Source organism: Homo sapiens, chromosome 2 (assembly GCF_000001405.40).
Source record: "Homo sapiens chromosome 2, GRCh38.p14 Primary Assembly".
NCBI classification, from domain to species: Eukaryota; Metazoa; Chordata; class Mammalia; order Primates; family Hominidae; genus Homo; species Homo sapiens.
The window spans coordinates 4,509,138-4,524,332 of record NC_000002.12 but is presented as its reverse complement, the minus strand read 5'-3'; the positions used below and the strand labels follow the sequence as shown (position 1 = coordinate 4,524,332).

General features: G+C 38.8%; 1 pseudogene, besides 1 other annotated feature; it reads left to right on the top strand.

The window, feature by feature from the left end:
• Positions 965-1,464: an enhancer, noted in NCBI's record as "H3K27ac hESC enhancer chr2:4570459-4570958 (GRCh37/hg19 assembly coordinates)". NCBI's record gives its function as "activates a minimal SCP1, AML or CMV promoter by ChIP-STARR-seq in primed H9 embryonic stem cells {active_cell/tissue: H9 hESC(primed)}" and the evidence as "EXISTENCE:reporter gene assay evidence [ECO:0000049][PMID:30033119]".
• NPM1P48 (nucleophosmin 1 pseudogene 48) lies at positions 9,181-10,214 on the top strand (annotated as a pseudogene).

The window sequence follows — 15,195 nt, the reverse complement described above, 5'->3', positions numbered from 1 at the left end:
GTAATATCACTTATTTTAAAATCTACTTCATCCAATATTTATATAGCTAATCCAGCTTCTTTTGGAATTGTGTTTCCACAATCTACTGTTCCCTCTACTTATTTTTAACGTGTGCTACATGTAGACAGCACACAGTTGGTCTTTGCTTTTCATCCAATATAAACATCTTGACCTTTAATTTTATCTTTCAAGAGACTAATATCTTACATAATTATTAATATACTTTTATTAAAATTTGACATCTAATTTGTCATCTCCTATTGGTGCCATCTGGTTTTTTTTTTCTGTATTTTTCCCATTTCCTTAGTTTGAAATAATTATGTTTTTATGTTTCCATTTTATCTCTACTTTTGGCTGATTGGCCTCATCCTTTTTATTATTTATTTATTTCTCTGATTTCTCTGAGGTTTGCAACATTCACATTATTCTTAATACAGATGACCTTTAAATAATATTAAACCACAGCACATGTAATATACAATCCTAGCAACTTTTTTCTCTCTCCTCCTATCCTTCGTACTATCGTCATATATTTTGTTCTTACATATGTCATCAAGCCCACAACTCTTTGCATTATTTTTATTTAAATGCTTTAATTAACTTTGATATGATTAAAATGGGAAACATGTCTCATATAGGTAGCTTATAGTTACAAATCATAGCTCTTGCATTCCTTTGTGTATATTTTAATTTCCACTGATATCATTTTTCTTTTGCCTCCCGAATTCTCTCAGCTTTTATTTGCGTGAGAAAGGCTTTATTCACCTTTATTCATGAAAGATATGTATGCTGGGTATAGAAATCGGTCTCTGTAAAAACAGAATATTTACTTATGGACCTGACTGGTTTTTTTCTGCCAGGCTCTTAACTATGGTGTGTTGAGTCCACGTAGTCTGCACTTGAGCCCTACCTGTTTTGTTGTTTCCGAAGTTACCTTGGGTGTACTGTAGCCTTCACATCCCTTCAGTAGTAGCCTGCCACTGGCCTGAACTTAGTCTGGGACCTGGAGTGCCAGAGAACACGTTCAGTCATCCACCTTTACTGTCAGTGTACTGCTGTCTCAGACCACATGCCCTTCTCAGCGGCTGGTTTCCTGCTACCCAGTGGAAGGGGCGGCTGCTGTTATTGAGAGCAAAGCGTGTGTTTTCTCGACTCCAGACTTAGGCTTAGGCAGGCCCCATGTGTCTGAGTTTCAGGAAAACAACTTTCTTAGCATCCTTTCCTCCCCCAGGGAAATCACTCTGCATAGTCTGGAAAGCAGGCCTGTGTCCTGCACACATCCTCGCCCTGCCCACAGGTGACAGCACACTCTGCTTGGTAGCTGGGTGTGTGGTGTCTCCATCCCTGCCCCCACAGCCAACTCCGAGGTTCACTGTATCAGTGCGGACTCCTGGGGAGGAGTGAGATTTCTGCCTAGTGTTATGCAGGGAGAGAGGTGTTTTTTTTACCTTTCCTCAGTGGTAGAAAACCGTTTTCTGTTATCTGGACAGGTGTGTTTCCACCCTTCCCTCAGGAGCAGATGGCATTTGCCCCACGTTAAGAAGGGCCCGGGCTGCAGGCAAGTTTTCTGTCTGTGCCTAAATGCGCATAAGTTTCCCATGGACTCCTGTGTTACCCTCAAAACTAGGCAGTCCCTGCACAACCGTGTCACTGAAGTGGAGAGGGACCTTTGGGGCCTGCAGTGCTGCCTGCAACCCTTCTTGTGGGCACCTGAGCTGCCCGTGGGGAAAAGCCAGCTGTAGGGGTTATGGGGGCAGGTACCTGGTGTCTAGGGCTCACAGGGATTCCAACCTGCCAGTAATGTTGGCCCTGGGCCTTCAGGGGGACTCTTTTCCTGGAGTGCTCCCAGATGGAACCATTTGTGTGCCCCATGCTCCTCAGAGGAAACTCAGGTCACATGGGCACCTTGCAGCTTCATAGTTTCAGTAGTCTGATAGTTGCAATAGTGCTGATAGTTGCAACAGTGCTGATAGTTGCAATAGTGCTGATAGTTGCATAGTCGCAATAGTCTGACAGTTGCAATCGTGTGGATAGTCTCAAAAAATTATGATTATTTATTTATTTATTATGATTTTTTAGATTATCCACTTTTTTTCATTGTTAGACTAAAACAACTTTCTCTTTTCTGCTATTGAACCTGTTTCCCTCTTTAACTGTTATTATACTCTGGAAATATGGAAACCTGTATTCAGAGGAGCTCATTTGGGGTGGAACATAATGGGTGAGTATTGGGTGCAGACCCGGTGCGGAGTAGTTGTTATGGACTAACCTGAACCTGATCACAAGTAGGGCTGCCTGATTTTAAAGGTTAGCAAGCATCACTTTCTGAAACTCATATCTTGAAATGACATTGGAATATCTTCAAGTGGAAAAAGGGCACATGGGTGTGATTTTGAATTTTTTTAATGTAAACTTATTTTTAGAACAGTTTTGGGTTTATAGAAAAATTGAAGAGTATTACATTGTTCCCGCATCCCCTTCCCAACATACACAGTTTCCCCTATTTGCATCTTGCATTGGTGCACTGCGTTTTATAATTGATGAGCCAATATTGGCATATTCTTATTAACAAAAGTCCATAGTTGACACCAGTGTTCACTCTTGGTGTGGCACAGTTCTATGGGTTTTGACAAATGCATAATCAAATCTATCCACTATTATAGTATCATACAGAATAGTTTCACTGCCATAAGAATCCTCTATGTGCCATCTATTCATCTCTGCCCATCCCCACCCCTGACAACTGCTGATGTTTTTACTGATGCATAATTTTGCCCTTTCCAGAATGTCACATAGTTGGAATCATACATAGTTTGTTCAGATTGACTGATTTCACTTTATTATAACGCATTTAAGAATCCTCTTTTTTATAAGTGTTTTCTACAAAGGAATAGATTCTTTTTGTGGAAATGATGTTCTGAAACTCTAAAAGATATCATTCACCTTCCTCAACTTCAGTTTCTTTATTCATAAAATAGGGATTATATATTAATTTCTATCCCAAGGTTTTTGAGTGTTGAAAAGATAATTTACATGTAAAAAAGTAAAATGTTAGACAAATATCATTTTTCTTAAAATATTGTAATGAATGCAAAGATATGAGGGATTTGGGGAGAGGAATTAAAATTAAAATGCAAGCCAATTCCTGACATGAATGAGAAAGGAAGGTATATGAGGGGAATTAAAATTAAAATGCAAGCCAATTCCTGACATGAATGAGAAAGGAAGGTATATGAGTTCTATTATCAGTTTTTGATTTTTACATTGTTTGATAGTAATTTCTTTAAATTACTTATGTTTCCAAGATACTATCATGATATTTCAATGAGAACACTTTAACTCAGAGAAAGATACATAATCATCTTTAGTTTAGTTTATTTGTTTTATAATAAGCAACTAATATTTTAGCTTTTGCTTAGAGCTCCTAAAACATATTGGGCTGAAATTATTTTAAGTAAAAGGATAAATTTTTTGTGTGTCAGCTGAGTGTTTAATTTATATACGCCACATCATCTTATCTAAGGGAGAATCTTTTTTGCTCCACAAAACTTTATTTTCTCCCAATGGCTTTTATTTTGAACAAAAGGAATTTACTTTTGATATTTGCGCAGACCTGTCCAGGACTGATGATATTTTGTTGATTGTTATATTAGCAGGCTGTGTTGTCTGCTCAGTATCATTCAAGAACTATGAGTGCATATTCAGGTGTCAGAGAAAATCTAAAATCGTGGGGAAATATATTTATGTCTCATGAAACAATTTTGCTATTCTTAGATCATTTTAGGGATTTCTAAAATACTTTTTGATAAATGAAAGATTTAAAAGCCTCTTCTCTGAATCATCTTTCTCAGCTTTTCCTTGAACTTTATTGTGAGAAAAAATATAGTATTTTTATTATCTTTTTCTTACTTAAAAATAGAGTTTAGGCTGCCTAAAATTTTATCAACTTTTATATAAATGTATCTTTGTTCTTACATATCAGAGGGCTAGAAGAAACAAAAGAACTATATAATGTATACATTTTAGTCTTACCAAACCAGAACAAAGTCTATTTTATGAGTGATGTTTATTTTGAAAATCTGGACAAAACCCTGAACATTAAGGGCATAGTTCAGATATGTGTTGAAATTGCTATGTATGTTGACAGAATTTACCATTGAATGGAAAAATGAGAAATTTTTACTTTGAAACCTGCCCTCTACCAAGACTTCAGCACTACAACCCCACAGATAGCATGAAATAAGTTGTATTTTGAGAAAGATTGCATTGCCTTGGACTGTAAACCTCCTGTTGACTCTAGTTTGAGGCATTGCATCAAATCCCAAGATTGAATAATCTGATCTGGAAAGTCACTGTCCAAGACTTCATGGTTTCTAATTCTGGTGTCTAACAATTTGCAAGACATCTATTATTTTGCTTTAAATTTCCAGCATAATATTTTGCCAACTGAGGAATATAGTCTACGAAGTTTTATTTCTAATTGTTCTTAGGTATTTGTTACTTTAAAATTTGATTAAAAGATAAATATCTGCTTTATAACCAAGCATAAACTTGTTTGCCTAAGCCAAACAATTCAGCTTTGTTCCGTAAAGGTGCCAGGAATTTGCAGCCTGCTCTTCCTCCTGCTGTTTGGTAGTCACGGGCACTCAAATTGTGATCTGCTTTTGTGACAATTGTCTTTTAAGGGAGACAGCTCCATTAGCAGTTTCATCAGTCAGCATAAGAGTATCTTATATTCGTACTGATACTTTCTTTGGTGTTTATTTTATTTTCTTATTATTAGTTCATTTTAGAAAAAAAAAAACACCATATGAAAAAGAAATTTTTCTGTAGTCAATGCTTTGCTGGCCCAGAAGGAAAAGCAGAGAATTCTGGCTGAGAACATCCTGAGAGAACTGCTGCTGTTTCAGCTCATTGCCATCTGAGCATGCTTGGAAGCTACCCTTGCTCTCTGTTACTGAAGCAGAGATTCTGGGACAAGGTCATCTTCAGGTTACTTTTCAAGGAACTTTTTCTGCCTTCTTTTGCCTCAAGTTCCAACTGAGAGGCCGGAGAAGCTGACGGTGTCGCACGGTTCAGATCTTTTCCACGTGAAGGCATTCTGGTTCGAGTTGTCGAGAACTCCATAGCCATGCGTAGATCGCACTCTTTGTGGCCTGGATGACACTGTAAATATAGAGTAACTCTCAAGGTAATTTGTACCCTGGATTTACATCAACTGCTGATATGTGTAGTCCTGGGGCTCTCCAGCCTCCCAGGGGACAGTTCTGTTACTGGTGGCGAATCTATATCCTTACGGTTCTGTAGCAACCTGAATTCCTGCCTCCTCAGAAGAAAGAATTTGAGTGCATAAGGCAGAAGGAGAAACCAAGGCAGGCTTTAGAGCAGGAGTGAAAGTTTATTAAAAAGCTTTAGAACAGGAACAAAAGGAAGAAAAGTACACTTGGAAGAGGGCCAAGCGGGCATCTTGAAAGCCAAGTGCATGGTTTGACCTTTTGACTTGGGGTTTTGTAGGCTGGCTCACTTCCAGGGTCTTGCGCTGCTTCTCCTGACTTGCCCAACTCCTTGGGAAGCTGCTGATCACCAGTTTCAGGTGTTTTCTATCTATTAGGAGACTGGCTTTCTCTGATGCCAGCTGTGACCAGTCATTACTTTAGAGAGACAGTTAACAACCACCTGCCCATCACCTGATGGACCCTGGATACTCCTGGTATGTGTCGGGCAGGAGGAGCCCTCTCCTGCCCTGCTCATACCTGACTAGCTACCCACTGTAACAGTTTCAGTGGAGCCACTCAATTTATTGAAAATGTGTTCCTGAGCCTAAAACGTAACTCCAGCAATTTTCTTGGCATTCTATGCTACCCCTAAAGGATTTCGTCTTTAGCTGCCCTGAGATTATAGTCTCTGGTTGTCCCTTGAGAATGAGTGGGATTAACTTCTTCAATGAGAAACACATTTTGCAAAACACACAGCTCTTGACAGTTAATGTTCTGTTCTGCTGAAAACTTGCACATCTACTTAACACAGCATTTGCATTTCTCATTGGCTCCTCTAATTCAAAAAGAAAGTTTATTGCTCTAATACTTAAGATCATCTGGTATACTCATCACCCCTCCTTCCTTGTGTACCTTGATTCTATTTCTCTGCTTATCTCTCCACCTGTATTTATTTATCTTTACATCCTATCCTTCAAATTTAAACTTCAAATTTAGTTAATCCATATAAAAAATCTCAAAATACAAATATATCACATTTAGTTGGTTTTAACCAAGTAAAGGCTTAGGCATCAACCCCAAGGTTATAAGCTACTGGGTTCATTAGATTTTTATATCCCATTAATGCATATAAAAAGTCCATGAAAATATTTCTGCTAATCCACATAACTGAATCATTTTACCTATTAGAGCTAATTTCTAGCATCAAACAAGCCACTATTTTCATTGATGAAAATCTAATATGTATTATACTAATTAGTGAAGCTTCTGGAATTGATGAGAGATACACATAGTTGAAAGAACTTATAATAGCCTTCTCTAAAAATTAGACAGAGTAAATGACAGCTGATCACCAGCACTGGGCTATGAATACCTAGAATATAGATTAAGCTAACCCAATGCAAAAGCATGCATTCAAACACACTGACACATAAACACACACTGAATTGTTTTTAATCACAGTGGCATAATACTTCCCTCCAGAATGTGAGATTTAGGGTAGTGAGAAGTTGTTTGTTCATCAATGCATCATTACTTCCTGCGACTATGTCTAGTACATAGTAGGCACTCACCAAATCTCTCTTGAACATCTTTTTTCAAATGCAGTTAATACACCATCAGATCTTTGAGGAGGTGCATGAACAGAGATTAAAATCTGGCAAGAGAGACCCTAGAGGAAGGAGTCCATGTCCCATCGGCTTCTGAGGACAAGATAGAACACAGAGTAGGACTTTGTCTCAATTAGAGTGACTGCCTTAGAAACCCTGGTGACATGTCCTCACCCGCTTCATCCCTAAATGGTCTTATATCCAAACTTTGTTACAGAAGACTCTGGCTAATATCTCAGTTTTCATTCCCTTTTTTTGTGGTCAACAACATTCTTCTCTTTAGCACGATGAACTGCTTCAGAACAGGGATTGTGTCTCATCTTCCTAGTTTTTAAAATTCTTAAGCTCAGTAAAAAAGTTTGTACTCAGTATTTATTGTATAAATGTAAATAAATAAAAAAGTTTCTAAACATTACTGATCATTTTCAGGTGCATAGATAATTATAATCCAAATTAGTAGATTGAAACTGTATTGGCATCAGCATGTCCTCTGAATGTCCCTTTTTGTTGTTATTTGAAAGGATTTTTAAAACATTTTAAAATCTTGAATGAGGATTTTTTTAAGTTATTTTTTAATGTAGAATGCAAGACAAAATAAGAAGTTCTGGTTAATTGATAGTTCTGTTAGATTAGTCTCCAACAGATAAAACAGATACTTAGAATTGTTTCTTTGTGCTATAGGAGAGGAGACATTCATAAAGTGTTGTAGCATAAAGCTGAACAAAAATGAATCGTCTGTTATCTTCCTTTTCGGAGGCAGAGTTGAGGCATAAAGGACTTTATCCACAGTTTGAAAATATCCATAGTTCGAAGATAATATATGCTTTTTTTCCCAGCGTGGGCAATATCTGTTCATTTCAGGGAGGAACAAGCTCATGGAGGGGCCGTCAGCACCTATCTCTGTGCACACCCGCCACTCAAGGAGCACATTTAGCCTGCAGCTAATGTCTGCTGTGATTGATTCCCGGCAAGCCTCTCAAAACGGATGTCACTCCAGGCTCTTAAAGGATATTTTTTCTGGAATTGTTTAACCTCCTAAGAAGCAATAGAAGTTCTTAAAAATAACTTTTATGCCAGAAGTTGAATAACTTTGTACAGCTTGTTTTTGTTTTTACCAGAATATGTAGAGAGAACTTAATGAGGTGCCATATGTCAAGTCTGGAGTCAGATTAAAAACAAATAATTAAAATATATCCCTTTTCCATCAAAACAGATTGTGATATGTTGGTGGAAGGAAGCTGAATCTGACATGTCATGTTTTGACAGATTTTTTTTTTCGAGAAAAAAAATCAGTCATATTGTTAGAAGTATTGTACTTGAAAGTTGTATTTTTCTTCCTGTGGAATAAAATACTTGAAACTTAAAACTGTGGAAAGTTTTAAGTCATAATTAATTGAACCTGCCATATCTATTAACCTGCCATAATGAAATAAGGAAGGCACATATTTTGGGACATATGGAAGCATCTGAGGAACATTCGTTTGGCATACAGACGTCAGAGAGTAAGAGAAATGTTGCGAGGTTTTATGTGTGTTGATGGTGGGATATGTGTGTATGTGTGTGTTGTGTGTTTGGGCAATTTCATATTTCTCCTTAAATTCAAATTGACTTTAACTATACAACAGATTATTCCTCAATGAGGACAGACATTTTCCAGTATTTTTTTTTCATGAATGAGAGGTTGATAAGTTCTTGTTGACTTTTTTTAACATTAAAATATAATACTTTAGGCCAAGTCTTCAGTATGTAAAAGTAAGAATATAACTTGTATAAATAATGAGATTTCTATTCTTACTTCGCAGAATGGCATAGAAATAAAGCATTCAAATCACCACTTCGGTCAGTCCCACATGGGAATATTTGATGGCATCCTAATCACAGGGGACTTTAAACACATAACCTGGCCATAGAGCAGGAACTTTTCAGACCCCACCTGGATCTAACTAAGCAGAGGGGCTTCTCAGCGGGGGAGGTAAAACCCTGGGATCTCTTGTTAAGCCAGCTTCACACAGGGAACTTAAATGAGCCTGGAAGCTCCGTCAGGTCACAGGATTAATCAAGATGGTCAAAAATAACAACACTTTCTGGAGATGAAGGTCAGGGATGCTCAGAGTACACAGGCCAGCATAGGTGGAATTATCCAAAAGCTGGTTTCTCACCCTAAGAGCCCAGTTCTTTGACAGCACACTTGCTTTCAGTTGGGGGAAGCTAGGAAGGTCACCCAGAAGGCTTTTTGAGGTACTCGTGCTAATTATATCTGTGACAAAGTCGCACCATTAGGGGCTTTTTGCCAGATCTCTGGTTGGCAAGGCTGTGCGACACTGCGGGAGCTTACCTGCTCTTTAACATAGAAGGACCTCTGGTGTGATTCTGTCCTGAGTGACTGTTCTCTTGAGCAGTAGTCATTTATCTCCATCCGCCTTCTCTCCCACCTAAGTACATGCCACCACCTCATGGAAGATTCGATGGACATGGACACGAGCACCCTGAGGCCCCAGAATTACCTTTTCAGTTGTGAACTAAAGGCCAACAAAGATGATCACCTTAAGGTAGATAATGATGAAAATGAGCTCAAGTTATCTTTAAAAACAGTCAGTTTAGTGGTTGGTGCAAAGGATGAATTGCACACTGTTGAAGCAGAGGCAATGAATTACAAAGGCAGTCCAATTAAAGTAACACTGGTAACTTTGAAAATGTCTGTACAGCAATGGTTTCCCTTGGGGGCTTTGAAATAACACCACCAGTCGTCTTATGGTTGAAGTGTGGCTCAGGACCAGTACATATTAGTGGACAGCACTTAGTAGCTGTGGAGGAAGAGGCAGAGTCAGGAGATGAAGAGGAGGAGGATGTGAAACTCTTAAGTATATCTGGAAAGCAATCTGCCCCAGGGGGTGGTAGCAAGTTTCCATGGAAACAAGTAAAACTTGCTGCTGATGAAGATGATGATGATGATGACAATGATAATTTTGATGATGAGGAAACTGAAGAAAAGGTGCCAGTAAAGAAATCTATATGAGATACTCTAGCCAAAAGTGCACAAAAGTCAAATCAGAATGGAAAAGACTCAAAACCATCAACACCAAGATCAAAAGGACAAGAATCTTTCAAAAACAGGAAAAAACTCCTAAAACACCACAAAGACCTAGTTCTGTAGAAGACATTAAAGTAAAAATGCAAGCAAGTATAGAAAAAGGTGGTTCTCTTCCCAAAGTGGAATCCAAGTTCATCAATTACGTGAATAATGGCTTCTGGATAACTGACCAGGAGGCTATTCAAGATCTCTGGCAGTGGAGGAAGTCTCTTTAAGAAAATAGTTTAAACAATTTGTTAAAAATTTTCTGTCTTATTTCATTTCTGTAAGAGCTGATGTCTGGCTGTCCTTTTTATAATGGAGAGTGACAGCTTTCCCTGCCATGTTTGATAAATGTTGTCCAGGTTCCATGGCCAAGAATGTGTTGTCCAAAATGCCTGTTTAGTTTTTAAAGATGGAACTCCACCCTTTGCTTGGTTTTAAGTATGTATGGAATGTTATGGTAGGACATAGTGGTAGTGGTGGTCAGACACGGAAATGGTGGGGAGACAAAAATATACATGTGAAATAAAACTCAGTATTTTAATAAAGTTAAAAAAATAGAAGGACCATCCCATCTTTTATTTGCTAGAAGTGAGCATCTAAGCATTATCCCAGAGATTCCTTTGTAGGGATTTCCAGAAATCATCTCCTAGCTCAGTGTTGTGAGATCTCTTATCTTAATGATGCACCGTTGCTGCTCCCTCTGGGGTTTTGTTGTTGAACTGAGGAAGGTCACAGAGACCGTGCACGTTTCTCTAGACAGCCAATGTCATAAACCACTAGCTGAGGGGTAGCATACAGTTTGTAAGGTATTTTGATCTGAAAGTCAGGAGACTTGGACTGTAATTCCAGCTCTGCCAAGGACGAATGTCGTGACCTTTGAGATTTAAATAATTTTGACCTCAATTTTTCTCCCTAAAATTGAAGTCATTGTCATGTTTACCTCATAGGCTTATGGAAAGGATAAACTAATGATACCATTGTTACCTTATGCTCACAGCATGACAGCACTGGTGAACCTCAGCAGAGGGGACTGCAGGAGAAAACTAAAGAATTAACTGAAGAATTCTGCTTAGAGGTCAGGAGTACAAGTTTGAATGTGGAACTATTTGTGTTCAAGGCCCAGCTCTTGCATTTACCATGAGACCTTGCCTAAGTTACTTAACCTCTCTGTGCCTCAGTTTCTTCACCTGTTAAATAAAGTGCTAATTTCATAAGGTTTTCAAATATAAACCATTGTAAGTTCTGAACTTAAGGTTGTGTGCAGATTAGGTGGTCTTATATGTATATTACTGTATCCCCTAATGCTATGCAATGAGGCTTGCAATTGAATATTTCAAACCCGTTTTTCCTCACTACCCACATACATCTTCCCCCTGAGCAGTAGGACATGTCCATGCCATGATTGACTTCTGGCTCTACAGGTTTGTATCATGTGTTGATGCTATGAGTAGTAGGAGTATTCCTGGAGGCATTCCACACTTGAACATCTAGCAAGAGCATGACCATTCAAACTACGTAAATACTACCAACTTGAGCCAAAATGTGTCTCCACAGTTGACAATCAACAAATACAATACACAATACAATCATATGGTATTGTATTGGAGTTTCATGAATATACGTAAAAAGGAAAAGGTACAATAGGCAGGGGAAATCAGGAATCACAGCTGGAATGGAGTGAAGGAGGTGGAGCTGAAAACTGACACAAAATTAAATGCAGGGCTTAGGAGAGGGCTCATTAAGAAAGCCAGATTTAGCCAAGGACAGTGGCTTATGCCAGTAACCCCAGCATTTTGGGAGGCTGAGGCAGGCGAATCAGTTGAGCCCAGGAGTTTGAGACCATCCTGGGAAACATAGCGAAACCCCATCTCTACAAAAAATACAAAAATTAGCCAGTCGTGGTGGCACACCGGTCATCTCAGCAACTTGGCTGAAGTGGGAGCATCACCTGAGCCCTGGAGGTAAAGGCTGCAGTGAGCAGAGATAGCGCCACTCACTGCATTCCAGCCTGGGAGACGAACAAACAAACAAAAAAAGGCAAGATTTGTGTGAAGACTTACCGGTAGTGAGAAAATTAACAAAGCGGATTATCTTAGAAAAGTTACTTCCAACAAGAAGGGCCAAAAACCCACAAAAACTAATGGCAAACACCCAAGGAGAAGCATGCCTGCTATTCAAGAACCAGGAATAAGGGTCAATGGGGTTGGAGTGCAGTGAGGGAGGTAGAGAGTGACAGGAAGGGGTGTATAGAAAAGGGGGTCAGGGGAAGGAGAGGCAGAAAAATTATGTAGTGTCTTCTGACCTTACTGATTCTTTTCTCAGAGTAAAATGCAACCCATTATATGGTTTTGAGCCGAGTAAAGACACACTTTCATTTCATGTTTAAAGAGGGTTACAGTAGTAGCTGGAGTAAATAGACTGACTGTTACAGCAATCTAGGTAAAAGAAGATGATGGCTTCAAGCACTATGGACAGATAAGGAGAAATGTGGAAAGTAATGGGAAGTGGCCACAGATGCATTTTGACGTAGATCCAACAGGATGAGCTGATACAGTAGACACAGAGTGAACAAAACAGAAGAGTCAAGGACAACCTTATTAAGATGCTTGGCCAGAGAAATGAAAAGGATCAAGTTGATACCAGCTGAGAGGGGGAGGTCTGGGGATGGAGCAGGTTAATGGGAAAAGATCAGCCTAGTGTAGGACTTGAGTTTCAGAGACCTGTTAAATAGCTAAGCAAAGATGTGAACGGGCGTTTGAAAATTTGAGTATGGAATTTGGGTCTAAGCCTGTGACTTAAATTTGGGAGTAGTTATCATATAAATGTTGTTTAAAATCAAGTAACTGTATGAGGTCATCAAGGAAATGAGTACTACCTATATAAAGAAAAGACCAAACATATGCCTTTCCATTACAAGGCTCCTAAATAGAACTAAATCTGTGAGAGGTGTTAAATATCACAGTCTTCAATTTATCATCCAAAAGTCAGCCCATATATTTGTCAACCTATAATTGCCAAACGCATTGCAAGTGATAGGAAAGCTATTTAATTATATTTATTCTACAGAATTACTTTCATAGACCATGATTCAAAAGTACGCATTGACTGTCACCAGGAGTGATATAAGCAGTAGTGTTATGGGGAAAACCTCTGTATGATTTTGCAAACTTGCTTCTGGGAATTGTGTCTATTACTCATCTCCACAAGAGAAATCATGGTTTAGTACTTTCTTTCTGGATCCCCAGAAAGACAGGTAAGGCTTGTCTTTCCAAAGACCTGATATTTTTGGTTTTGATGCAATAATGAGAAATACATATTTTTTGAATTTCCTTTCTGTGGCTACTGTTGAATTTACATGGGAGAGTGGTTAAATGCCAACAATTTGGGGGTAGACCATCTGGTTTCCTGTCTCCCTTTATTACTAACTCACTATGGCACATTAAGAGGTTACTCAACTTGCCTTTTCTTTAGTTTTCTTATTTGTAAAATGAGGACAATAGCATTAGCTACTAGGCCTGGGAAAGGATAAAATTAACTTATTTATCCAAGGCATTTGTCATACTTATGTAACATATATTAGGCCCTATGTAAATTTTAGTTATAATTATTGGTAGTACTACTATTAGTAGGTAATATTTATGGAAATTTGACTACGTTCCCGGCATTATTTTAAACAGTTTACAGAGATGATCTCATTTAGCCTCTAATTTATAAACTGCACATTCTTATTGTTGCTACTCTATGAATGGTGTACACAGAGAAGGGGGAAATCATCAGTTTCTGCAGCCTGAACTTTCCATTACACATTCTCTATCTCTTTCCCTGTTTATTTGACATTTGTTGTCTATTACTCAGCAGCTATTCAGTCTTATTAATAAAAATAATGTCAACCTGCCTTCAAAGGTGAGGGTAAAAAAATATAAACTGTTTTAAAGCTCCAAAAGTTTTCCAAATTATGTATAACTGCTCTTTAGAATATTACACGTTTTGTACTACATCATTGAAAGACAATGTACTAGAACATGAGAAGCAATGGATTGAGCATCAGGACATGTGGGTTCTACTGGCAATTTTGGCACTAATTCCTAGGTAATTTACTTCTAGACATTTAAACCCTCTAGATCGCTGCTACTCCAAGTGCCAGTCTGTCAGACATAAGGATCGAGTACAATATACTCAAGGAAATCAACACACTGCTTCCTCCACCGAAGTGTTGTTCTCCGGAAAAACTGTGAGCTAAAAGAAACATGTGCTTAGGAATGTGATAGACTTACACTTGGCTAGCTGGCTGATCTCTCGGCAGAGGGACGATCGTAGTTGCGGGATGCCGTAGCAGAAGTCTGTGGACTACGGTTCTAGTCACATCGCTGTAGACCTTACAATCAGCATCTGTAGAAGGAAAGGGAGGGCTCTTTTGCTGGTGGACTCAATGATTTATATTTGTAACAATCTGTGTAAAACCTTGATTGCCATTGTAATACCAAGAGAAAAGCCAAGCCAACTGGAAGTCATAGGCCTTGACTACCTCAATATGAGAAAAATGATACCTGCATCATCAATTGTCCTCCAGCATCAAAGCCACTGTTTGCACCTACTGCTCAATTCTTACCCTAAGAGAATGATCCTTTCATGGAGGAGATGAACAGCTACTCAGACTTTATGGTCACCAGCTGAGTATTGCTTTAGGACGACCTCTCTTACTCTGCACAGTCCTGCATGCACCATTGGTACTTAGTCTTACTTACAAGATGTTTGTTTTACTTTTCTCCTCCTTTAAAAAGAAACTCATTCAAGTGGTCACTTACATACAGCAGCTGGAAGTCTTTAGGAAGGAGTTTTGGGGTTCACAAGGAAGAAGGAGGAGACACACCTGTCTTTCTGAAGCTGTTTGGACTGAATCACACCAGCTACTCTGGTCGGCAAATGCTGTACCAAGCCTGCCCTACGAGCTTTTAGAGCCAACATTTTTTAATCAAGAAGACCCACTGTATGGTAAAGGCCAACAAATACACTGGAAAACAGACAATCCAGCAGTTCTGATCTTCAGCTACCATCTTAGGCTGTACACAACAGGGAGAGCATCCAGGGCCCCATGCCCTCCACCAGCCCAGGAGGAGCTGCAGCTGCAGTGGTTTGGGTCAGATTCTGTTGTACAGCTTGAGATAAATGGAAGAAAATTAGGAGGAAAAATTACATAAATTGCAACTGAGGTGGTAAACTCATTTGACACATATTCATTTAAACCAAAGGTGCAGCACATTCACATAGTTCGAGAATAAATGTGGATATTTGTTAC